We start from the raw sequence: 26,258 nt of genomic DNA, 5'->3' as shown, positions 1-26,258 counted from the left end.
TCATTTTTTTAACAATTTACAAAATAAAGTACATTTTAAAAGGGTTAATTTGATTACTAAAAATCAAAATCAAACATGCACAAACAGAGTATCTCAAAGCACAAAGAGAGTGCTGCGAAAAATGTGGTTAGCTTTTCCTGGGGATGGGGCAGAGAACAAATGCCATGGTTATTAGAATCACACAACCTCCCTGATTCTCACAGGAAATCTCGCTTTGTGGAATTTGAAAATTCCATATTCAATCATACTGTTAGTCACAAACCTGAAAATGATTCTCTAAATTGGAGTAAATGGTTTAAAATGGTTCTTTTTCCACTTTGGTTTGTTATATAAAAGGTTTTTCTTGCATATGTAATTCATTGCTTTTCTGTTATGTACCTCTAGATAGTACAGCTTACACATATGATAAATTAATTCATAATCTCATCAAACCACCTTGAGACATCAGTCATAACTGAGGTAATGACTACTTTGGGGGTGACGGTGCTATGGGCAGCAATGAATGGCTGTGGCAGCAGTATTGAAATGCAGCGTTACGGAGGCCTGTCACTTAGTTTTCACCCACAGTTTTAAGGGTGATCAGTGAAGATGTCGGGGAGACAGCTTTGAGGTTATGACACTGCAAAAACCAGGTTGTACTGAAATGAAAAACAATAGTGCTAGAGGGCATTTGAAACGTTCCTTAAGAAAGACTTCTAATTACTATGTTATTGTATGACACCTTGCCTGGGTAAGAGGAAAGAAAAGAAAAAAATAAGGACAAACCTGTTAAAGATAAAGAAAGCAGATGTGTATAAAGAATTAGGTTCATTCGACACTGATATTTCTGAAGAAAACTTTAAAAATATTGTAAGTAAAATAAAATCAGGAGAAAATGAAATCTTTACAGAAAATATTTCATACTGTCAAGGGCTTTTAAAACATGGTTCAGGAATTTTTATTTTTTCTATTTTAGAATTCTAACTGCGACATATTAAAACAAAATCAGCTCTGAGAGTAATTTTCCAGGCAATGTATGCTCCTTTTTGAGAAGCCAAACTCTGTCTTTTCTCTAAATAAGCACAATAAAATGGGCGAGCTGTCTGCAAGGGAGGGAAAAACAAAAACCAGCACAGATTGCTGGAAGAAACATCAACAGAAAAATGTGATACCGACAAAAAGCAACCTAAAATATATTTATAGGACACACGGCAATCCAGTCTGCTGGTCCAAATAGATTTTTTTTTAGCATAAGACTTTTCATTAGATCTTTTGCAGAAATAAAGTCCAACTCCCGCTTTTAAAAATCTCAAATGCAGGTGGAGAGTTTTAGTTTTGATTCACACTTACAAGTCCAGGGTCTTAAAGATAAGGCAACAGGTTTTGATACACTTCTACCCGGGTTAAAAAAGTAATTCATAAACTGTCTTATCTCACCTGTTAACTACTGGAAATAGGCAACTAATACAAACTGTGGGTATATTCAGGCAAGCAAATGCATACGAGTCGTCGCTGGCTGTTATGGGTAAACCAAGGAGTACATTTCTGTCAGGGAAATACAGGTGGAAATCAACAACAACAAAAAAATGCACACTCCTCACTTCTATCCCCAGTCTGCAACCAGAGAATGAATGCATGATTCTGGGCCCTGAGGTTTTTTGTTTGCAGATACTTGAATAGTGACGTGGCACTCAAACTGCTTCTTTGGAACTCCTTTAAAAGTAAACAGAGGCTTCCCCCCTTCTCTGCTAATTATATAGTTTGTTTATAAAGATGCAAGCTCTTTATTGTTCATAATCTCAGCTATCACTTGCTTGGGCATCTATTCGGATCAACAGCATAGAGTTAAGTGGAAGAAAAAGCTAAATGTGATTGCTGTCTGCAAAGCAAGGATGAATTTTTAGATTTTAAGTGCTGTTCTTATGTTTCATATTAAAATACTGAATTCAAGTCACAGGTTCAGAGTCACTGCACATTTAGGGCTTTTTGTATTTAGTTAAACATCTGTCATTTAAAAAAATCTAGAATACTGGCATAGGTTAGAATAAAATCTAGTGTGCATCCTGCAATTCTACAGATTCCATTGCTGGTGGCCATACATCTTTGATGGCAAAACTACACTGGTTGTAGCACCATAAAAATCAATAAATATTAACCTTTTCTGACACTTTGTGCATGGATACTTTATCAATTGCTGTCAGGTAATAGAACAGTCAGTGATGAACTATACTTCTCAGCTAAGGAATCCAAGACAAATTATAAATCGGTGTAAATTAACAGACTTTTTAAATTAAAAAAATTAGTAACAGATTTTATTTCCTGTAAGAACATAAAAGCTAGTAAGCTTACTTACATTTTGAGTAGGTGCCTTTGGTGGGATGTAAATATCAAGCAGCACTTTAATCAAAAGAACTAAACACTAAACACATTTCTACAGGCGCCTCGTATAATTAGATGGATTATATATAATCCACTTTTGAACTTCAGGTGACATGCTAACTAAGAAGGGGGGAAATATTACTTCCTAACACCCTAGTTTATTTCTGGTAGCAATCCACATTCTTTTGGATGAGATACAGGTAATATCTAGCATAATTTGTAGAAATTCGAAGGGGAAAACTGTTCAGTAGAACGAGAGTGTCACTTTATGCTGGGAAACTTTCCATATAGTCACTGTAATAGTGACTCTTCAACACTAATCCCACGCTATCCTCAGGGTCCCAATTATTGGGCTCGCGGTCCATGAGGTACATACTGTACACAGCAAGAGAACAGACTGTAGGTTTGGAACTACGACAACCGACACACTAAGGGCTTCATTCTAGTTACTTCACGGGAAATAGTCCATGACTTCGTTCTTCCAACATTAGTTTTTAGCTTTGCAGCTGTGACAAAATTTCACCAAACAGTCTAACGTATTGATCAACTAATAATGTAAATTCAAAACTAAACTCTTAATATCTTAAGTCTGGTAATTTAAATAGCAAAGTCTATCGCTATTTGCATTCTCTTTTCAGTATATGCATTTCTACGCCTTATGGGTGACAAACAAACTGTGTTTTCATGGTCCAGTTCCCTTCAAAAATACTGTGAAATTTCAATAGGGCAGCAATTCAGACAAATAACTCATCCTTCAGATGGAAAATAAATGCTTCACACATAAAGTAACAGCTGTAAGAAAGAGAACTGCAATGTGCTAAAATCACTATTAACGTAATATCAGCCTAAGAAGAATCAGAATTCTCAGGAAAATAAAAATGTATTAGTTATATCTCTCTGGGCTGTAAATTTAAAAAATGGATTTTTTGGCTGGGCATGGTGGCTCACACCTGTAATCTCAGCACTTTGGGAGGCCAAGGCAGGTGGATAGCAAGGTCAGGAGATCGAGACCATCCTGGCTAATGTGGTGAGACCCCGTCTCTACTAAAAGTACAAAAAAATCAGCTAGGCATGGTGGCATGTGCCTGTAGCCCCAGTTACCTGGAAGGCTGAAGCAGGAGAATGCTTGAACCCAGGAGGCAGAGGTTGCAGTGAGCCAATATTGTCCCACTGCACTGCAGCCTGGGCGACAGAGTGAGACTCCCATCTCAAACAAAAAAAAAAAGATAAAATAAAAAATAAATAAATAAAACAAAATAATACGGATATTGCAATATGATCTAACACTTTTTCATTCCTCGAAAAGAAGTGGATTCTCATAAGATGCTGGAGATGAGAAACACATGCATATCAGCCAAGTACGTTACTGAGTATCTGGTCCCCACTGAGGCTTTGTGGGTGAAAGCATGACTGCCAGACAAGCATGGAGAGGAAGCGCCCCAGATGGGCACCAAGGCAGACAGACTCAGGGCTCCAGCCGCCCCGTGGACCAGCAGGTCCCTATAAAAACATACTGGAGGCCCAGGCACCAACTGCCTTATAAAAAGCACGTTTCTGAAATGACTAACATCTTTAAAATGTTAAACTTCAGGTCAGAAAGATTAAAAAGATTTCTTACAAACCGGTCAAAGTAGGGAAAGTCTTGGGTTTCTGTTCTCCAGTCATGCTTGATTCGCATCAAGACTGGGTTTCCTGTTTAGCTCTCTGATCCCAAGCTATGCTGGGGTAGGTACTTTCCCAGCCTTTCCTCCATGTTTGGCATCAATCTTTAGCTCAGATAGAAAACAAACAGAAGAAATATAAAATCTTGCCAGATCATCCAAGATAAAGAAGACCTCCTATAGCCAAGGCTGATGATCTTCACTTTTCTCTGATAACGAGCACCTGTGAGACTGCAGCGCACTTCACAGCTTCAAAAGCCACTTTCCCTGCTGCAGGGGAGATTCGTGCAAAAAAGTTTCTGGTGGACATAAGAATCACAAGCTCCTTTCCTCTAGTTTATATTAATAATACCTTAGAAATGCATGGCACTAAATGGTTTGCAAAGAACTTTCACACATGATCTAATTTAATGAGGGCATGGCAGTTAATCCAGCCATCAGATCCACACCACAGCGATCTTCAACCCAACACATGGAGCATCCAAATCTGGAAATGAAGATCATCTATTTTTAGTCTAACCGATTTTATTCTAACACAATCCTGCCATCCTGCAGAAGTCTCTGAGAATATGGAGAATCTGCATATGAGGTGGGAAATAACTCGAGCCCTGGAATACCTTTGTCAACTCTTATATGAAGGAATAAAACAATCCTCAACGAATAACATCATCACCGTTGTTGCGAAAGTTTTTCCTTTATTTTGGAGACTTCAGCCTCAAAGCTAAGTATCCTAGCCTACGAAAGCATTTTTCTGTAGCTCTATATTGGCACCAATAGGCACAGGAAAGAAACGAAGGGGGACCCAGCAACTCCATTTGCTACTTGAGAAAGGAATAACATACATGCTTAACCCATGTAATACCATTCTCAGCAACTCTGATTTATTACAACCCTATTTATACTTGAAATGCTATATTCAAATATTTGCTTAGCAACCCATTATAGTACATTATGTGTTGTGTATGTGTTTTTGCTTTTTGCTCTATGCCTGGAATATCATGATCCCTCAATTAATGAACCATCGGTGAGAAAACCTACTACAAGCTGGAGCTACATGAAAGCAGGTTCCTGTGGAGCAAATGTGCCCACCCAGTATGCCCCTCCTGCAGCATGGCCCAAACAGCCAAGGGAGAGTGAGCAAGAGGCCAGAGAGCACAAGAAAAGGGTGGTGACATGCACATGCTACACCGACTTCAGACACCCTCAAATAACAGGGCAAGAAATCCAGCATCTGGATCAGCAGGCCATGAGAGATCAGTGAAAGTCCTTTGTTATTGCTAAGTACATTACAGAAACCACTGGATGTCAGTTTTGTGGCAATGGGAAGAAGCTGCTCCAACAGGAAAGTCTTGAGTCAAGCAGTCACAAGAGAATAAGAGGGATGGCAGCAGGGCAAGGCAAGGACGGGCCCGGTTCCGCCACTGGGATTCACTTAGGGCACTCACCCCACCCTTCCACATCTTTGTTAGGTCACCCCGAGCTAACAAAGGGGATGTCTGTGTAAGCGTCTAGAAAGAAAGTTCATTTTATGTGCATTGTTCTACCACCCCAATTATAGAACAAACAACCAAAGAAAACTGAGCAGTACACCCAAGAACTATGAGCTCCCCCTCCACACCCTGCCCACCTACAGGGTTCCGTAGCGTGACCTGGGGTTGGCTCAGGGGGCTGAGGTGAATAAAGGATCCAGGTAAGTGAGGGAGCGACGCTTCACCAAGCTGTGCGCCGCAGACAGGAGCAGAGAGGCTTCCTTCATTTTCTCTACAACAGCCCCGCAAAGTAGGATTTATGACTTCAGTGTTTTTAAGGAAACAGAGGCATAGGAAAGTTAAACATTTTATCAAGGCACAAAGCTAGAGAGTGACACAAATCTTACCATGTCGCTTCTCTGCTACAACCTTCACTGGTTTCCCCTTCTTCTTGGTTCAAAATCCTCAACATACCTTTCAAGTCTGGCCCCTATTAGCCCTGAGCGCATCAGCTTCCTCTGGTGTCTCCCTCCCTCTAGCTGCACAGAACCCTGGTTCCTGGGCCCAGCTTCCTCCCCAGATAATACTAATGGCCAGCAAAGTCCTCCTGGGCCAGCCCCACCCCAGTGCCCAGACAAGTCCTTCAGGTCTCAGCTGCACGCCCCTTCCCTGGGCAGGGGCAGGCGTTTCCATGCCCTCAGTGCCCCCGCAAAGCTCCTATTCTGTTATGTTTGATCCTAAGTGACTTTGGCCTCAAGTAGGTGTCATCTCATGCTCTACTGGTGGCTCCCATACAATGTCTGCCTCTCTGGCTACAACAAGCTCCACAATGACTGCAATCACATATGTTCTGTCCATAAGTTGATCCCTACATGGAGCAAGTCAACCTACTTGTTTCTTCTAATCCTCGGAATCTTTCATAAAAGTTGATTACTTAATGGGCAGGTAATATTTGAAAGGTACTGTGGCAGAGACTTCATATGTAACTTAATAAGCTAATTCTCATGAAATCCATGACCAAGAAAGGTTTTTGTATCCATTTTCTACCTAAAAAAGCTAAAACTGAGACATGGTGTGTAAGCTTCCCAAGATCACACAGCAAGAAAGTGTCAGAATTGGTTCAAAATTGGGTTTATCTCATCATAAGACAAGTGTTTTTTCTGCCACACCATGCTAACAATCTCAATATCTTAACTGGAAAAGAGCAGGTCTTTAATTTCTATCAGTGAGGTCTTGAGAATAGTTTTAACAGCATTTGTTATTCTCTCTTTTGATTACAAAAAGCAACACACTGTAGATGATATAGAAAAGCTTGCACTTAATATGTTGAGAGTTCCAATTTTCCTCCATAGGCTTCATCAATGGGTACCGTCAACCTTTTAGATTTCTGTCGATTGATAAAAAGGGGCATCTCACTGTTTTGATGTAGTGACAACTAATGAGGTTAAGCATTTTTGCATATACTTTTGGTAATCTGCATTTTAAATTGCCTATTCAGATCCGTCTTTTAAAAAATCAAAGGAGGTTTCTATACATAAGGAATACATATTAATCCTGTTATCTGTCTTACATGTTATAAATTTTTACATTTCACTTCTGATCTCAAATTATTGCATTGCTGAATATATTCATATATAAAAATTTGTTATCTCATGTTTTGTTTCTAAACAGAAAACACAGTGATTATCTGTCAATATATAAAGACTTCACTAAAATAATGATCAATTTTCTTGTATTTCAGGTGTAATATTTCAATATTTCTATTCTTGAGATTTCCGAATACAAAACAAAGTAAGAGTAAAGTGGAATGTAAATGTCTAGAGGATATTGTAGGTATGCATGTTTAGATAAAGGAATACATATTACAAGCAATAGAAATCATGCCCTAAAATTATAAATATATGTGATCAAAAAATCCGCCTTTAGAATTTAAGATACTTTATTACCCTCTCTTTCTGAATCAAAAAGGTCGCCTCACACCTTAGATTATGTCTTACCCTGCAATGTCAACTCTATCTCTATGCTCTTAATGACTGTTTTCTCTTCTTGAGCTTTTATAACCTAACCAAGGACAAGAGAGTGAGCTGTCTGTCTTCAGTGGGGTGACTGCTACCTATCCCTATTTGCTTCCTGCAAACACAGGCAAGTTCCTTTGTGAACAGATCATTTTCTAGAGGTCATTCAGACCATAATTTCAGGCCCTAGCCACTATCCTGATGGTCCTTCTTAGAAAATTGGACCCAGTGGGAACGTTTTCTCCCTCTGCTTTAGTCTATGGGTCAGCATTTTCCTTCCCTTGTAGTTCTTAATTCCCTTAAGTGGCAATTATTTAAGACACACTTAGAGAAGGTGCAATCTACATTCATCCAATAAAACCTAAATATTAAAAAGGACAGAAAAATTCAGCATGGTTACTAAGGATAAATGGGACAGCATTTAACATTTGAAAGGTACCAACGAAGTGGTACACGAGTAAATGGATAAAATTTTAAAAAATGGTTGGAGGTAAAAAAAAAATTAAGACGATCTAAAAGGGTACACTATGTGTCAAAGAGACAGAGCGTCTTAATTACAAAAGGTTAATATCACAGTCAGAGTCAAGAAATAGGTGGAAAGATCACTCTAATAAATACTACCTGGAAATTCACCCAAAGGCAGCAGATACAGAAAGTCTACATTGTAGATTTTTCACCAGTATATGACGAAAATTTGGTTACTATAACGGCCCTAAATACAGAGGTAACCAATTCGTGCTCAGAGCATGATGCTGGGGATAAGATCACCCTAATATGTGGAAAGACATATCAAGACAATTATGATGACTATATGGACAAAAGAAGGTCATAAATAAGGTCAAATGTTCTAAAAGAAGCCAAAGGAGCAATGTAAGAATTCTGAATTTTATGGGGCCCGCTCATAAGCATAATGCGCTGGGATTGGTAAAAAAGAGGTCATGAATTAAAATGACAATCTATTCATGAAACACAACTGCAGAAGTCCTGAATATGAGCATTATGCAGATAATAATAATATCACATGTGAGCCATGGGTATTGTGGAAGACAGAGCATTTCCAGGTCTACCAAGTATAATCTCACCACCTTTTCCCATGGTATATATTTAGGAGCAGAAAAATATCTGTGAAATTTTAATGATTGATTCAAATATGGTTACATAATTAAATTTTTTAAAACTTAATGTTCAGAATTTGGTCTTTGATCTAATTGATCCCCTGCCTGGTGATCAAAAAATTGTATTTTGCTAAGCAAATCCAACATGTGATATGTATAAAATATGGTAGACATATTTAAAACTTCTTGGTTTAAAGTGAGTTTTCATACATAAAACTGAATTCATTCCATTAGAACCACTTTTAAGGTTTTAACTCTCACAATTATGAAAGGTCTCATCCCTACAATAAATCCCTTATTCTGTATCACTCAAAGTGGTTCTGCTTCTGTGGTCGAACCCTGACTGATAAAACTTTTGGGATGGTGACATTTAATCCAAGCAGCACATATAACACTGTCAATTATCTAGCATAAAACAGTAGCATAATAGTGGTTATACAGAAACCACAGGCTGGCTTCAAACTCTAGTGCTAGTCTTTAAAGTTTCAGTCAGTTATTTTACCTCATTTTTTCTACCATACCATTAAATTAAAACTAATAGTAGCATGAGATTGTTCTGAAAATTAAATGATACTCTTAAAAACAGCCTCATATCTGGCAAATAGTGATTGCTTGTATAAAATAGTTGTTACCATGTATGATATGGTCAATTATCTAGAATAAAATGGAATTGACTCAATGCTACTTTCTAGAGCTTGCCCAGGCTCTAGAGAACAGAAGCCATATGGCTGTGGAAGAAATTTCCAGATGCTCTATACAGGTCATTTGCTCAGGGGTGCTTTCCTAAAGCACCTTTCACTTTTCTTTATCAACCTTATATCATGGGAGCAAAATGTCCAAAATTTGTTTGGTGATAATCCAGCATGTATAAACACAAGATTAGTTATAACTTCTCAAATGAATTAATTTCTAGTCTCATCAGAACTTTTCAACTGTGTTTTACAACACTATAAATTTCACAAAGTCAAAGAAGTTTCTAAAACCTCTCTCACCAAAAAGTTTGAGAATTATTAATTCAGCTTTTCAATGATGATTCAGAAATCATCGGCAGATAAAAATGCTTTTCATTAATTATTTGGAAATATTAAAGAAAGTTCATATGACCATATTTCTGAAATGGGATGGTATCTTCCTGTTCTGATTTATCAGTGCAAATCCTACACAACTGGAATTAACTGTATCCCAACTGTCTAGAATTCTTTCGGTATAGGTTTTAAACAGAGGTTCATACAGAGTCAAAGATCCTACCTGCGGCTGGCTTAGCAAGAGAAGGAACTAGCCATACACCTGAGTTCCCCTTACGGAGTCTTCTGTTTTCTCAGGAGGTGGGCACAGCTGGGTGGTGGTAAGTCTGCGACTTCATCATGTGGAAGCCTGGGACTCACTGAGAGGGATGTGGAGAGTAAGCCTAAATGCGCAGGGGCAGAGTCTCACTAAACAAACACTCAGATAAAACGTCTGCATAAACTAACATGTCAGATTTGGGGTCTATATCAAACCCTTTAGGCCAAACATTCCATTTTGTCTGCACTATGAGGATAAAATACTGTATCCTACACTTTGAGTGAAAATGACTATGCATATTAATGTAACAGGCGAATATCTTGACATCTTAATGCCTAGAAGATAAACACACCCAAACTGATCCTGCCATAAATAATAAAAATAGATAGCTCTGGATTTCAATTGTCCTTTTCAATGTAAAAAAGATATTTAAAAATTTAATATGTTCAAACTGAGCATCAAATATCTTTAAAATGTCTTCGTAACATACTTCCTTAGAAGCAGATAGAGAAATTGGAGTGAAAAGTAAAAGAAAATATATTAAGTGCCATCACAGAATTATATCTAAAACCAAAATTACTTCTTTGATTGAGTTCTGGATCATGATCTAAAAGCACACATCACAAAAAGAAAAAACTTTTTTAAAAAATTACATACAGGGAGAAAAGGCCAGAAATATGGATGGAGATAATACATTAGGAAACCATTAAAAGACAACAAACAGAAACCTAAAGTATTATTCAGCCTCTTCTAAAGAGCCAGCTGTTGGATTATCTTCCTTTTTCAGCTTTTACTGTATGTGCCGCACAATTCAACTTCTGAGCTCCTCCCTGGTACACATTATTGCCTACAGTCTCTTCTGCCTGCTCGGTGCTTCCATCGATCTCCTCTTCTCACCTCTCTGATTATTCAAGTTTTACAAAACCAAGTACCCTCCCCCTTGCCTTCATGCAATTCAGATTAATCATCCGTGTTTACAAGTTACATGAGCTGCGGCCACATTGCCACCCCGTAGCACACACTATTTCCAACACTCCTTTAAATGGCAAGAGCACTTCCAAGCTGAAAGAATTGATTACAATTAAATGTGCATGAGGGGGATTCTATCTGGTCCCCGATTTCAGCAAGAAGCTTGCTTTGTCTGAACAACAAGGTTAATCTAAAAAAGCCTAATCCTGTCGGTGGTTTATTTGTAAAACACCAAGAAGTACCACATTTCAGTGTTGACCAGATGCTCTAAGAAAATGTCAATAGACTCAATAAATACTTAGTTACCAACATAAAGAATGTCAAACTATGGGACTGAGATACCTGATAAATGAGAAGAGTTATGAGTTTGGTGTGTTTTAAAATAATAAAGCTTTAGATGAAGTCAACTTCTAATACTACCAAATAGTATATTAAAATTGCAAGAGAACTATCTGAGCATTTTCATGTCTGTCATTTTGTACTAATGGATTCTTTAAAACAGTCTATTTATTACAAATAGTCATTTCTAATCAAGAGAATTGGGTACATAAACATGAATATGCAAGTTGTGCCAAGAATCGAGGTCACATATGTTAATATAAAATGTAACTTGGGATACTCTTGTCACTCAAGAGCAGCATCTACTGGCATAATTAAAATGAATATAAATGACATAGAGTAATTTCAGTTATATATTTTACTAACTAAATACTCATAGAGTACTTAATAAGTGGCAGGCACTATTTTAAGTACTTTGCAAATATTGGCTTATTTAATCATTCCAAGACATTTATCACAAAAAGCAATTAATTTTTGTTTGTTTTTGAGACCGAGTCTCGCTCTGTCGCCCAGGCTGGAGTGCAGTGGCATGATCTCGGCTCACTGCAACCTCCACCTCCCGGGTTCAAGTGATTCTTCTGCCTCACCCTCCCGAATAGCTGGTATTACAGGCACGCGCCACCATGTCCGGCTAATTTTTGTATTTTTAGTAGAGACGGGGTTTTGCCATGTTGGCCATGATCTTGAACTCCTGACATCAGGTGATCCACCCGCCTTGGCCTCCCTAAGTGCTAGGATTATAGGCGTGAGCCACCATGCCCAGCTAAAAGTGATTAATTGACAAAAACCTTACTCCAAGATGCAAAAGGATTTATTTAGCTTGCGATGTTGTTTCCATTTAAGACAGCAAAGTTCAAATCTATTCCTGGCCAACATCTGGAAGGAAACTGGTATTATAATTCATATTAACTTAATGAAACCAGACAAGGAATGTGGAGAAAATCCTAAAACATAGTTCCCCAATAAAAGTACTCTCTCAATGAGAAAAAAAATAAAATTTATATTCCATACAATAGTGATTAAATTCATCTATACTACCCTTGAAAGAATCTTGCCTTTTCCTTCACAAACACGAAACCATTTATGCTAGGCTTTTATTTTAGGCATGCACTAAAATTATAATTTTTCACAAGACGAAAGAATGACTTCCTGTCAATCACACTGACATGCTACTCAACAAACGACACTAAGAGCAATGACAAGAGTGAACAAGTCTGTGCAGCTTTTTAGAAGCATCTAGACCAGCCATCAAAAATGCTATTTTATCTAGTTGGGGCCTACAGTATATTCTGCTGCAGTAAAAGCTATTAGGGGATTTAAGTGATTACGAGGATAAATTTTTACCTATTAAAATAATGCATCAAAGTGTTTTTAATCTTAGGAAAAATTAAAAAAAGAAAACAAGGAAGTGTAAACATGTCTGTAAGTTCAAATATTTTACTTCACATTTTGCCTCATTAAATGGATATATTTCAAACACTGACTAGAACATATCATATAACATATGTTTAGTCCATTAAATTTCAGAAGGTCAAGCCATTTAGTATAATTTTTGTATTCACTCTTCCCCACTTCCACTTTTCCCATCCCAATCAAATCTCTGCCCTGAACGGCACTTCACCAACCAAGAGATGTATTTAATATCTTCTAAAATGGGTAAGTGTGGAAGACAGAAAAAATAGGGGTACCAAATTATTTTTGTATTTGTAATTTTTAAAAATTGTGGTAAACCATACATAAAAGTTACCATCCTAATCAGTTTTATGTGGACATTTCAGCAGTGTTAATTAAGTACCATCACACTGCTGCACAACCAGTCTCTACAACTCTTTCATCTTACAACACCTTAACTTTGCCTGGTCACACAACTCCCCATTTTCCCTCCCTGCAGCTCCCGGCACCCAACATTCTACCTTCTATCTCTTTGACTTCGACTACTCTAGGCACATCATCTGTAAGTGGAATTATAATGCAATTATACTTATCAATGTAAGCCATCTTGTGTGACTGGCTTGTTTAACTTAACATATTCTCAAGGTTCATCCATGTAATAGCATGTGCCAGATTTTCCTTCCTTTTTAAGGCTGAGTAATGCTCCACTGTATAATATATAACAAACTTTGTTGATCCATTCTTCTGTTGATGGACATTTGGGTTTCTTCCACTTTTTCACTATTAATAGTGCTGCTATGAACATGGGTGTACAAACACCTGTTTGAGACCTTGCCTTCAATGATTTGGGATATCTATCCCAAAGTGGAACTGCTGGATAATACGGTAATTCTACGTTTCATTCTTGGAGGAGCTGCCATTCCGCTTCCACAGCAGCTGCACTATTGTACATTCGCTTCAGCAGCGCATAAGGGTTCCAACTTCTCTGCATCCTTGTCAGCACTCGCAATTTTCTATTTTTCTGACAGGAGGCATCTGAATAGGTATGAGGTGGTAGTCGTAGGTTTTTTTTATTAAAGCATATTTCTTAGCTAATGAGAAAAATATAGTGAATGCAAAATACTAAATTGGTGAGTATTATTTACCACCAGATAAGGTGGTAGCCAGAATCACATCATACACAAAAAGTGAACACATTTTCTTATTTGATAACTTAAAGAATTGAAGAATAATAATTTTACTAGGCATTACATTCTGGATGTAAATATGCAGATCTCATTTTATTTACACATAAGTTTTTTTTGAATGATTGGTTATAACAAATATCAGGCTAAGTCAAAAGTCATTCAGGACATAGAAGAGCCAGTGACAAGCCAAACACATTTGTGATGAGTTTAAATTACGTCTCAGATGAGGGAGAAGATGGACACACGAAGCTGAGGGGAAATGCACATATCCAACTGTGGCATTTTAAGGATAAAATTTCAAACCCATGCATGCTTAATTTCAGAAACTGCTAGGGTAGCAGAGTAAACAAACTGACCCAGAGAAATGCTGCTAACTTACTTTCAACAAAAGAACAAAGGCAATTTAATGAAGGAAGGACAGTGTTTTCAATAAATACTGCTGAAAAAAATGAGACATCTATATGCAAAATAAAGAACTTTGACTTACACCTTATATGTTATACAAAATATGACTCAAAGTGGATCACAGAACTAAATGTAAAGTGTAATAAAAGCATAAAGCTTCTAGAAGAAAATATATAAATTATTCTTTGTAACTCAAGTTAGGCAACTAGCTTTTAGAAGATATTGTATCAAAAGCTCAGAGCATAAAGGAAAAAACTAATAAACTGGACCTTATGAATACTATGACTTTTCTGTATGAAACACACTGTTAAGAGGCGGAAAAAAAGACATGTCTCAGACTAGGAGAAAATATTTGCAAATCATATTTCAGAGGTCTCAGGTCAAAAATATAAAATAAAAATGATCTCAAAAATCAACCTAATGAAAAAAGGGGAAAAATATTGTATTTCAAAAGACACTTCATCAAAGAAAATATACAGATGTCAAATAATCATGAATTGATGCTCAACATCATTAGTGATCAGTTAAATACAAATTAAAACCACACGATGAGTTCCTGGTGAGTACGTGGAGTGACGGGAACTCACACATTGCTGGCGGGAACATACTATGCACAGACAGTTTGAAAAATAGTTCAACAGTTTTTTTTTTAGACAGTTAAATATACCATATAATCCAGGCATCTCGTTTCTAGGTATATACCCAAGGAAATGAGATCTTATATTCACAGAATCTTATATGTGAATGTTTAAAGCCTCTCTATTAATAATTGCCAAAAAGAATAAAAACCCTAGCTGTGGAATTTCACTGTGGTTTTTATTTGCATTTTCCTAACAGTAATGGTGTTGAGCATATTTTCCATGGCTTGCCGGTCATTTGTGTATCGTCTTTGGGGGAAATGGTTATTTTGATCATTTGTCCATTTTTAAAATAGGTTATTTGCCTTGCTCTTGTTGAGTGACAGAGTGCTTTATGTATATTCTGGATACAAGTCCCTTACCAGATAGATTTGCAAAATATTTTCTCTCATTTTATAAGTTTTTCTTTCATCTTTTTGATGGTGCCCTTTGAAGCACAAAATTTTTAATTTTGATAAAATTCAACTTATGTTTTCCTTTTGTTATTTGTTCTTTCGGAGTAACATCCAAGAAACAATTGCCTAATTCAAGGTCATAAAGCTTTATCTGTACGTTCCTTTTGAAGGGTTTTTACAGTTTTATTTCTTATATTTAGGTCTTAGATAATGTATGTTCTAGATAGAGAGATAGAGAAAAACATCTATATTCACAGGAATGCAGGATTTAGTATACATACCTACACTTCCTTGTTTATCTGCTGCGAAGGCCTAGAAGCAGAGGTACACAGAAGCAATGAGTCCACACAGTGTATATATCTTGGCTTATAACTACCATTCTCCAGCCAAAGGAACCAGGTCTCCTTAAGGTAGTGATTCATTTCTGGACCATGGCAAGGAAAACACAAGATGAACCCACAGAACACTGTGGTGCCTGAAAAGTAAAGAGATGTCTCTAAAAGGATGGGGGTGCACACAGGGCACAGGAGCTGACTGGAAAGAGGGGGCAGTGGTTAAGGCAGGAGTGCTTTCAGTAAGAAAATAAGCCACAATGGTATTGGATTATAAACCTCAGGATAAAATACCTCCACAATGATAAAAAGAAATAGAATGAAGAACTGGGAAAGAAGGAACCAACTACCATTCCTTACAGAATAATTCCAATTATTAAACGTAGAAGAAATGCAGGAAAGAAAAAAAACACCATTTAAACATCACAGACCTTATTCAGGCAGGATAAACTAATGGATGTCAAAATTATTGGGCAAATGACTGGGGAGAAATAGGCTATTTTCGTGGTCTGAAAGGCTCTCTCCAAGATGTGTACTGATTAAAAAGGTAAAACCAGGAAGCTGCCACTGGAGGATTCTGAAGATCCCACCTCACTCCATGGGCCAGGCGGACGTCCTCAGTCACCAGGTGCTCCAGGCACAGCACACATTTCTTCTGGTATTTTCTTAAATGACTTCAATTAAATCATGAGTAAACATCACACTATTCCAAATTAAGAGACATTCTACAAAATAACAAATCCATGTTCCTTAAGAGTGCCAAGGTACTGAAAATCTGTCCTGGACTGGAGAAGACCAAGAAGACATGGCAACTAAAAGGAATGTTGGTTCCTGGGCTGAATTCTGGGAATGAAGGAGGATGTGAGTGGAAAAATGATAAACTCTGAATACGAGAATACAGCATAGAAAATGGCAACGTATTAATGCTAAATTCTCAGGCTTTCGTAAGTAGTATGGTTATGTTTGATGTTAACATTTGGGAAAGTTGGGTGAAGGATATATGGAACTCTCTGTACTATTTCTGCAAACTTTTCTGTAAGTTTAAAATCATTTAAGATAAAAACTTGCGAAATAGTAATTTTCCTCACTGCAAATAGAAATAAATGAAATTGCAAAGAGTAATAATGTGCATTACTTCATATTCTGAACTACATTTCAAAGCTAATGAAACAATGTATCTAAATTTCCCTGATAATTTGAAAGACTTGTCATGCTATTCTTTAGTAAACGGCTTCAGCTGGAACAGTAACTTGTTCTGCAGTAGTAGCAACACGAGTGGGCAACATGATCTTTGTTTCCTCATCTAAAACTGCTGTTTAGGTGGGGGTCAAAATATGTGTGTGAGGGTGTGCAAATTTTTAAAATATGTAAGTTATATTGAATTAGTTGATAAAAAGTCTATATAAAAGTAAAAACCACATCAATTACCTGATAAAATCATACCGTCCCCACTATAACTTTTCACAATCAATTTTTTCCCTTAAAATTTTGATAAATGAAGCTGTCAGAGGGGATAAGATCACGATTTTCAATTTTGTTTACTTTTTTTTTTTAACTGTTTTAACTTTCAAAATCCAGTTCACGAAGGCTGCAAATGTGAGCTCTGATAAGATCGCAGTGCTGCCTGCCATGAGGTAAGAGAATGCCACGTGGCTGGGTGACCTTGGCGCAGCAGGGAAGGGAGCCGGGAAGGAAGCGCTGGCGCGGCTCGAATCATACAGGCCATCACACTTGGCCAGCACACTCAAGGAAGGGGAGAATATAGTTTTTTTCTGGAAAAAAGTTAAAAATCACTTTAAAACTTTTCTTTAAGGTCCTGTAGTGACAGGATGAGCATGAGTGAGCCGGGAGCCTGAGAGCCAGTTCGGCCAATCTTGTTAGGTGTTACCATCAAAAGCTGTGTTTTAATTGTGTACTCTAACTTTATTTTAAATTTATGAATGCCATTCAGGACTTTACAGAACGCTAAACTATACAGTAGAAAGGATACTTTTTTCAGGATGATATTCTTTTTAAAAAAACAGTTTTAAAACTACAGAGTGCAGTAGACACAAGCCAAAAATAAAATTCTAAGCTCCCCCACCCCAGCTGACTGAATGGTCCCCTTCTCGGCCAAAGGGATCCCAAAGAAACCTGAAAAACTAGCTCCGGCCCTGAAGGGAAGGCCGGAGGGACAGGCCTCCCTACAAGGTCCTCCCTTTGGAGTTCAGGCACAACTGGTCGGCATTAACATTGAAATAGAGATCTTAAGATTGACAAAACAGACTCTTTGTAGCAAGAAGATATTCAACTCCCACCTGACTCTGGTATAGCATTACATGACAGATAGCAGGTCTTATAAGAAATCAAAGTATTTTACCTCCAAAATATATTTTTTGACATACTTTGAAATGGCCCTGGAATGCCATCTCTTATTGGGAAAATTTGCATTCTGTAGAGAATCTCCTTCCCTTTCCATGTCTTCTCCAGATCCAGCAGAAATTTAACTAACAGTCTGACACCTTTTAAGGTCCTAAAAGAGACCTTCACCATCTATTCTCTCTGCAGTCAGTTACCTGGAAGCTTCATCTACATAATAAGAACCTTGGCTTCTACAATCCCCCTTATCTTAACTCAAGCATTTCTTTCTGCTGGCTTCAAGTCTTCAGGCAAAGGTTAACTTAACCAATTGCCAATCAGAAAATCTTTGAATCCACCTATGACATGTGAGCTCTCTAACTCCCTGCTTGAGATGTCCCACCTTTTTGGGCTGAACAAATGTATACCTTACATGTATTGATTGATGTCTTTGGCTATAACTTCTGTCTCCCTAAAATATATAAACCAAGCTATAACTCAACCACCTTGGGCACATGTTCTCAGAACCTCCTGAGACTGTGTCACAGGCCATGGTCACTCATATTTGGCACAGGATAAACATCTTTAAACATCCAACAGAGTTTGGCTTTTTTCTTCAACATAGGTAACATACAAATAATAGAAATAATTTAAATACATTATTTAAATGATACGTTTCTACTCTGAAAAGTTTTAAGTAGGCCTTCTGTAGCCCTAATTTTAGTATATGCTCAGACTGTTACACTAATATGTATGTATGAATACTAATGTGTACACATATATATGTTTGTTGTTATGAGATTCATTATCCTTAATAGCAACTTGAAATACATGCAAAAAAATCATTAGTCTTTTCCTTCTACTTTGCTACTATTAAAATAGCAGTAACAAAATCCAGTAACTTTCTTAAAAGAATACAATTTTCAAGCTCTTTCATATGGATTATCTAATTTGAACCTCATGTTCAAAAGAAAAGCTAAACAATGTTACTCTTTTTGCAGTTGAGAAAACAGACACAAAATGCTTGAGTGACTGGCTCAAAGTTACACATCTCCATGGTGAAAAAGTTCATCCTGAAACCTAGTTCATTTGACTCCATCCATCCGTCTGTGCCACAGGCTCTGTACTAGGCAGGAGAGGTACAACTGTGAAAACATTTACCATGGTGTTTTTACATTATTATACTATATCATTCTACTTCCTAATATATGTTTAGATTATTTGAACTCTTAAAGCTCTAAATTTTTAAGGCTTCCACTGAAAAAACTTCATTAACCTGCCAATCAATTATTTTAAAGCTCCTGTACAGCAGGGTGATGTAACTGTAAGACTCTGAAGACAGGTGAGAATTTTATAGAGCCACACTGTAGTTATGCATCCTCAAGCAACATAACCTCTTGAAGACAGATTTTTCAAAACCATTAAATTGAGAATAACATGTATCAACAAGATTTGTTTTGAAGATTCAATGGTGTAGAGAAAAGTTTGGCACAGATACTATTTACGATTCTTTGTAATTGAAAAGGTAAAATGTGATAGCATGAAAAACAGAGTTCTTCATTACTACTTACTAGCTAATGAAAACATAAGGAAACCATACATAACAACCATTTGGGTCACTCTAGAACAATTAGGATCACCCTCTTGCAGGAGGATGGCAGGAAGGAGCAAATGCTTCTCTGACACTGCTCCACGGTGTTAGGCAGATAAAGGAAGATATGCGTACTGAAGAATACTGGCATATAGTTATTCTTAAAAAGATTAAATGTAAAACTATTTTATTTGTATTTATTTATTTACCTTGAGACAGAGTTTCACTCTTGTCGCCCAGGCAGGAGTGCAATGGTGCAATCTCAGCTCACTGCAACCTCCACCTCCCAGTTTAACCAATTCTCCTGTCTCAGCCTCCCAAGTAGCTGGGATTACAGGCACCCACCACCATGCCCAGCTAATTTTTGTATTTTTAGTAGAGACAGGATTTCACTACATTGGCCAGGCTGGTCTCGAAGTCCTGACGTCAGGTGATTGCTTGCCTTGGCCAGCCAACGTGCTGGGATTACAGGCGTGAGCCACCACGCCTGGTTGTAAAACTATTTTAAAATGTGTCATTAGAAAGTTTTGAAAAAAACCCTCTTTCAGTATATTATTCAAGAAAAAAGAGGTGGAGGTCAGGTCAAAGATCTGCTTCTCAGTAAACAGTATGTTTACTGATAAATATCCACAAATACAATTTTCCTGGATACCAATTACATTACTGCAAACAACAGGATGATGAAAAATACTGTTCTGACATTACTCACTCATAGATTATGAAGTATGTAAGAGAGTTCTTTCTAAACTTAGGAATTCCAACAGGAATGAGAGCGAGAAAGGGAATGAAGAAAAACATCAGCTATCAAAATACCAAATGTGTTGAGCCATGATGGACATTGAGGGTACTGCTATGGCAGACAGCTCCGGAGTATTTGGACAGGAGTATGAAAGAAACAAAGACATTTAGCAGCACTTAAGAAAAATAGTAAATTAACCCAAGGATGATGTCTGAGGTTAAAGAATCAAATTGCTGAAGTGTTAATTATTTTAGGAAGTCTTTTGTTAGTGGTGAAGTATCAGGACACTGGAAAACAAGGAATCTAGTCTGAAGGTTAACACGAAAGAGAGGAGAGGCTGAAAATTATAGACCTGTAAATCTAACATCTATATTAGGAAATAAATTTGAGATGATACTTATGGATGAGCTTAATGATACATTTGGAGAAGTACAATTTAATAGGAGTGAGTCAGCATGGATTTACCAAAGGCAATCATGTCAGGAAAAATTTCGTTCCTTTTTAGGTTGAAGTAATAATTGGTTTATGTAAGGAGAACCAATGAGAAGCTGTCAGGATTTTCTGAGATTTTTGGACCTTTTCAGAAAATGAATTGTTGTACAAAATGTCATGACATGTGTCAGGGCATCCAACTAACAAAAGGGGGTGAAAGCAACCGGGTTAAAAATAGAGGGCCAAGAGGAATTTGGGAGAAGACTGCATTCTATTCTACAAGGTTCTATGTATTGAACACTAATGGTTCTAATTAATGACAAAGGAAATTTTTTTATGTAGGAAATTTGAATATATTGCTAAATAAGGGGTAATGGTTAAGACAAAAGACTTTAGCTGTTTTACGTTAATGAGGCAGAAAAAGGGACTTGGGGTTTTGATAAGAGTCAAACTTTCAAATTCTTATTCTTATAAATGGGAAGAGGCAAATGTAGGGAATACAGTTAAATAATACACGTTATAGAGAACACCAAACTGCTTATCTTAGAGAAGAATACAAGAACCCCAATTTTTGAAGAGAATATGATAATTTCAAGTGTTATCACTCTGCACAGGTAATAATCTAATGTACATACGTATATGACCAAGTCTTAGCATATGTAAAAACTGATGAAAATAAAATTAATTTAAATGTGATACAAAAGTATGAGGGTAGAAAAATAAAGGAAATTAAGAAAAATACCATATCATTACATACTGCTCAATTTTCCCTGAAAAGAGAACACCTTGTAATCATTACCTTTGGAAAAGACAACAACACTTACCACATTTAAGGTCTCAGAGAGAAATAAGAAATAACTAAATCAACTTCATAGCTTTGATGCACTGCTCATAGGCTCAGAAAGTGACCACACTACCCGTGGGTCTTCCAGTGAGCATTCGTTCATGAGCAATAAGAGCTATTTCAATAATAAACAAGCTCCTTGAGCCGTAAGGCATAACTATAAGTCTGCTGCTTGGAAATGATGAGAAAAAAACATCTCTTTCTTCTTAGGCACAATCAGAGAAGGCTGAGCAGCCTCTCCTCAGCCCTCCCCGTCTGGCTTCCAGATCTTCACTCCCCTTTCTCTGGGGTTATATTTAAAGCATTCTGAGCTATCCCTGCTGAAGTGAACTACACATGGGGTCAGACTGCAGGCCACTGGTGTTGCAAACACAGACATGTATTTAATTCTTTGTCCAAATGTAGTGAATGAGTACCAAGCTTATTTATGGATGGGCAACATGGTAGAAATATAATTGTTAAAACTGAAGAGATCAAATCAAGATAATTTTTGAGATGAAATAGATTTTACTAAATAGAAGAAAAATTGTACAATGACAGAAACCTATCTTTAATTTGATGTCAATTTTGTGAAGATTAATGTGACTGTAAAATCTCATCATATTAGACCTAGATTGGGCCTAAATGAAGCTCTTCAGAAACTTGGATGTGGAGAAAGGTGTTTTTTTTTTTAAGTATATACAGAAAAGAATACAACTCATAGAAGAGACTTTGATGAATTTCTCAAACTGAACACAACTGTGTCTCAGTATTGGGATTAAGAAGCAGAATCTTACTAGACCACTGTACTTCATTCAGTGACTGGTGCCTACAAGGGCAAATAAACTCTGACTTCTAAGATCATAGAGTTGTTTTATCTGTTTTTATATTTAATATAAACACAATCATATAAAACGTACTCCTTGGTGACTGGCTTGGTTCATCCAGTGATAAGACTGTGAGACTTACTTCACACTGCTGCTTGTACTTGTAGTTCATTCATTCTCACTGACTTATTCCATTATGTGAATATACAACTTTTGTACATTCTGCTTGAGGGACATTAGGGTAGTTTGGAGTTTTGACTATGATGAATATACCAATAATTACATTAAGTACAAATACTAAAGTAAAAGACTAAATATTTAATGTAAAAGATAAAAACTGCCCCAGCAGATAAACAAAATGCAACTATAAGCTGCTTATAAGCAATCTGGGAAAGGTATACCAATATGAAATGCAGAATTATGGCAAGAGATATTGCTACTAAGAAATATTTCATAATTATGTGTATGTCTGTATCTAAAACAACCCTAAGTTCTGAGTATTTAGTGATATATTTTCAAAATACGTAAAGCCAAAAATAACAGAATTTTAAAAGATAAATCCACAATTATAGTAGGAAACTTTAACATACTCCTCTTAACAGCTGACAGAACCGGCATTTTAAAAAGCACTAAGAATACGACAATCTGAACAACACAGTGAACAAACTAAACATTGTAACCGACAGACAGGGAACAAACACCACTGGTGCCAAGTATTCTTTCCTAATGTGTCTCAAAAATTTACCGAAACTCACCATTTGCTGGGCATAAAAAAGTCTACACAAATTTTAAAGAATTAAAATAATTCATATTATATTCTGTAAAAACAGTAAATTTAAGCTGGTAGTGGATTTGCATTATTAGTTCAATAGTTTAAAAAAAAAAAAAAGATAACCAGAAAGTCTCAAACTACCTGGAAATGGAATATTACGTTTACAAATAATAATCCATGGTTAAAAAAAATAAAGAAACCACTTTTGTCTTGTGTTTCTTATCTGACAACAACTAAAATTAGAACTCACATATAGTCTTTCATGCTCTGGAATATGAAATAGAAAAAGATACAAAAATCGTTTTACTGGTTGCTAAAAAGGACTGAAAAAAATACAATAAATCATCAACTTCTGCTAGAGAGGGAAAAACAAACTGTGCAACCATTTATGCTAAAAATGATCATGTCAAACAGTTTACATACAGTATAAATGATCCCATTTAGATGGCACACACATTCTGTGTGGTAGGCATCACTATCCCCATCTTCAGAGGAAAACTGAGACCCACAGAGTAAAAATGCAGTTTTCAGGGCCAGACATCAAGAGAATGATCAAGCTTAAGTTGGAGCCCATCTTCCCCGAAGGTCATGCCTACAGCTGCACAGCAGGGACTAGGGATAGTTCATTCAAACTCCTAGACTCTTCGATAAGGAATCTGAAGCTCCGAGACGCCTGTCTTTACATAGAGACTTGAATCAGGGTCTCCACTGAACTCCAGTTTTGTGTTACTTGCGTGAATTACATCACGTAACTGCAGTTATACACCAATGTAGAGATACCAAGGGTATAGCACATTTGCACACAAACCCCTTTCTGCAGAACTGTTTTCAAATAAAAAATAAAATACCTCACTTTAATATATGAATTCCCAAATATTATCTCAACTGAACTTTATATTATCTCAACCAAATCACAGTATTTACAGTCTTCTTTTTTTTAAAGATAAGTAATGTTTTTATTTTTCTCTTATTTACTCACTGTACTTTAGGGAACAATCCGTTTTTCATGTGTAACTGGTAATGGAAGAGAGAGACAGATATGTCAATCTTGCACCTGGAAAGGAGGCAGAGCAAGGCCACCTCGAGGAGGACACTTTGCTGATGCCCACCATGGATTTGGTCCCTGTGGCCTGGCCATTGCTAGGAGCAGCTCCTTCACAGGTGGTGTTTCTGGTATCTGTAAGGTTATGGGTCCATATTTATGAAGAACCCATAGGCACTTATGGCCAGAGATATTTCAACTCGACTTTATCTGTTTTTATGAACTAAAGCTGATAAACTGTCTAGTTTCAAAACCTTTTCAGTGACAACCTCACCAAAAGGGAATGAGCAGAGACCTCTGTTTTTGTTTGTTTGCCAAATACAGCCCTGGATAGCAGAAAAATTACTAAATCACACACTCGACATTACTTAAATAAGTCAATCATATGAACATCAATCGAGAAATATGAAAGAACAGTAATGAGCCTCTATCCACGTATTGTCAAGTGTATTAAGAAAACTAGTCTAACTTAAATTACTCAAGTTCAATTTCTTATAACATAGATATTTTGCGAACAAACATTGCTTAAGCATTTTGAAGCTGGAACCTCGCATTTCTGGTGTGATATATATCACAATCCCCACATCCCCACCACTACTAACGACCCCATCATATGGCACAGATAGGCATAAATGTTCATGCCTACAGCAGCATAGCAGGTACTGGGGAGAGTTCATTCAAACTCCTAGACTCTCCTGGCTTCACAGCCATTATCTTTTTAAATTCTCACAATGACCCTATTAGTAGGTACTATCATGCAGATTTACGTATGGGAAACCTCAGGCTTGGTGAGGTCAGCCTGCCTGAGGTCATATGGCCAATAATGAGAAGCAGGGTTTAAAAGCAACTCTAACAGGTCCCAAAACATCTGCTTAAAGCACATCCTTGATCAACAGGCCTTATTCAAACTCTGCTGCTTGGGCTAAATCTTGGAAGGCTTCTCTAAATTTACTCCTCAAAGAGGTCCTCGCACCCATAATCTATCATTCTGCTGCTCTGCACAGAATTTGGCACTCAAGGAATACTTGCTAATTAAACAAAATGTCGGGCTGGAGGAACGGATCTGCTTTACTCTGCAGTTGCAGCCACATCGCTGACACCTTCCAGAGCCCCTCACTTGCCACCCAAGAGGCAAGAATCCTCTTAGCAGCCGCTCCCATCACCAGCTCTTCCCCAACCTAGGGCCAGCCCCCTCCCAATTTCTGGGAAACGCACAGCACCGTTACCACCCACTACGCTTGACTCCGTGGTCGTGGTCGCAGGTCACATTCTTTCTAGGCATTCACTAGAAGATGATGGTGTCAATAAACAGGGCATAACATTTCAAATCACAAGCATTTTTTAAGAAAAAAAATTAAAATTTTAGCAATTAGTCAACATATGAAGATTTAACAACTACTCTCATTTCAGGTCAACTATGCTTTAAATATTTACTATTATTAACTTTACAGTCATCAAATAATTACTCTGTCAGATTTCCTTTTTTGATAAAATACAGTTGAAAAGTCCTGTTTTCATAGTTGAGTGGGATCAAACTGGAATGTACTTTTCTATAGGTCTTGAAGCAGATACTATCACATACTCTACTCCATTACAATAAATCATGGTAATGTACAAATAGCATTATAACTGCTGTGATCACATGAAATCCTGTTAGAAACAAGTTTTCACAGTTTCTGTCCCTTACCAGCATGCAGGTAAGCGAGGTCCGGGTTTTCGATGTCAGGATGCTGTTCCTTCAAATGGTTCCGGAACTCCACCGGGACGTTGGTCCCGTAGTCACACTTGGGACAGTTGTACATCTTGACTCCTTCATGTTTGCCAGTATGCAGAATGTGTTTGCGGATATTTTCAGCACAGTTTGACCTACCAAGTAAGACAGAAAAGTAAATCTAATTAAGGTCAAACCAATAACCTTATCTTACAAATAATGATATTACATAACACTGTCTGTATGTGTTTGGTACTATTTTAAGTGCTGTACTCATATAATAATTAGCTTATATAATACATCAGCCTTATGAGGCTGGTAGTTTTTATAACCCTGGTATGAATTTTTAAGTTGGTCTTTTAGCTTCATTTCTATGAAGAACCAGAAATACCAAATCCCAAGCACTATTATTTTAATATCAAATT

The 26,258-nt window shown here is 37.1% G+C and overlaps 1 protein-coding gene and 1 long non-coding RNA gene across 5 annotated transcripts in view, besides 6 other annotated features; one reads left to right on the top strand and one right to left on the bottom strand.

Moving 5' to 3' along the window:
* ZNF407 (zinc finger protein 407) overlaps positions 1-26,258 on the bottom strand; it is a 467,802-nt gene that overhangs the window by 119,170 nt on the left and 322,374 nt on the right. For 2 of the 4 annotated variants that reach the window (NM_017757.3, NM_001384475.1), the window contains exon 8: positions 25,810-25,988. In NM_017757.3, the coding sequence (NP_060227.2) occupies positions 25,810-25,988 (179 nt within the window). Of the gene's footprint in view, positions 1-25,443; positions 25,989-26,258 lie in introns of those variants that run through there. The other 2 variants (NM_001146189.1, XM_017025838.3) reach the window with 2 other exon arrangements.
* The window catches only part of LOC124904323 (uncharacterized), a 30,823-nt gene continuing 14,454 nt past the window's right edge, over positions 9,890-26,258 (top strand). The window contains exon 1 of the long non-coding RNA XR_007066414.1: positions 9,890-9,963. This is a non-coding gene — a long non-coding RNA (uncharacterized LOC124904323). The remainder of the gene's footprint in view (positions 9,964-26,258) is intronic.
* Positions 16,206-17,405: an enhancer, noted in NCBI's record as "P300/CBP strongly-dependent group 1 enhancer chr18:72641053-72642252 (GRCh37/hg19 assembly coordinates)". NCBI's record gives its function as "activates an origin of replication core promoter dependent on BRD2, BRD4, P300/CBP, MED14 and CDK7 cofactors, with strong dependence on P300/CBP, by STARR-seq in HCT116 cells {active_cell/tissue: HCT116}" and the evidence as "EXISTENCE:reporter gene assay evidence [ECO:0000049][PMID:35650434]".
* Positions 16,206-17,589: a biological region, named in NCBI's record as "P300/CBP strongly-dependent group 1 enhancer GRCh37_chr18:72641053-72642252".
* Positions 16,770-17,589: an enhancer, noted in NCBI's record as "NANOG-H3K4me1 hESC enhancer chr18:72640869-72641688 (GRCh37/hg19 assembly coordinates)". NCBI's record gives its function as "activates a minimal SCP1, AML or CMV promoter by ChIP-STARR-seq in naive H9 embryonic stem cells {active_cell/tissue: H9 hESC(naive)}" and the evidence as "EXISTENCE:reporter gene assay evidence [ECO:0000049][PMID:30033119]".
* Positions 17,590-18,409: an enhancer, noted in NCBI's record as "NANOG-H3K4me1 hESC enhancer chr18:72640049-72640868 (GRCh37/hg19 assembly coordinates)". NCBI's record gives its function as "activates a minimal SCP1, AML or CMV promoter by ChIP-STARR-seq in naive H9 embryonic stem cells {active_cell/tissue: H9 hESC(naive)}" and the evidence as "EXISTENCE:reporter gene assay evidence [ECO:0000049][PMID:30033119]".
* Positions 24,456-25,054: an enhancer, noted in NCBI's record as "OCT4-NANOG-H3K27ac hESC enhancer chr18:72633404-72634002 (GRCh37/hg19 assembly coordinates)". NCBI's record gives its function as "activates a minimal SCP1, AML or CMV promoter by ChIP-STARR-seq in naive and primed H9 embryonic stem cells {active_cell/tissue: H9 hESC(naive and primed)}" and the evidence as "EXISTENCE:reporter gene assay evidence [ECO:0000049][PMID:30033119]".
* Positions 25,055-25,654: an enhancer, noted in NCBI's record as "OCT4-NANOG-H3K27ac hESC enhancer chr18:72632804-72633403 (GRCh37/hg19 assembly coordinates)". NCBI's record gives its function as "activates a minimal SCP1, AML or CMV promoter by ChIP-STARR-seq in primed H9 embryonic stem cells {active_cell/tissue: H9 hESC(primed)}" and the evidence as "EXISTENCE:reporter gene assay evidence [ECO:0000049][PMID:30033119]".

This window comes from Homo sapiens, chromosome 18, assembly GCF_000001405.40.
Source record: "Homo sapiens chromosome 18, GRCh38.p14 Primary Assembly".
In the NCBI taxonomy this organism is placed as follows: Eukaryota; Metazoa; Chordata; class Mammalia; order Primates; family Hominidae; genus Homo; species Homo sapiens.
This window is presented reverse-complemented; position numbering and strand designations above follow the sequence as displayed.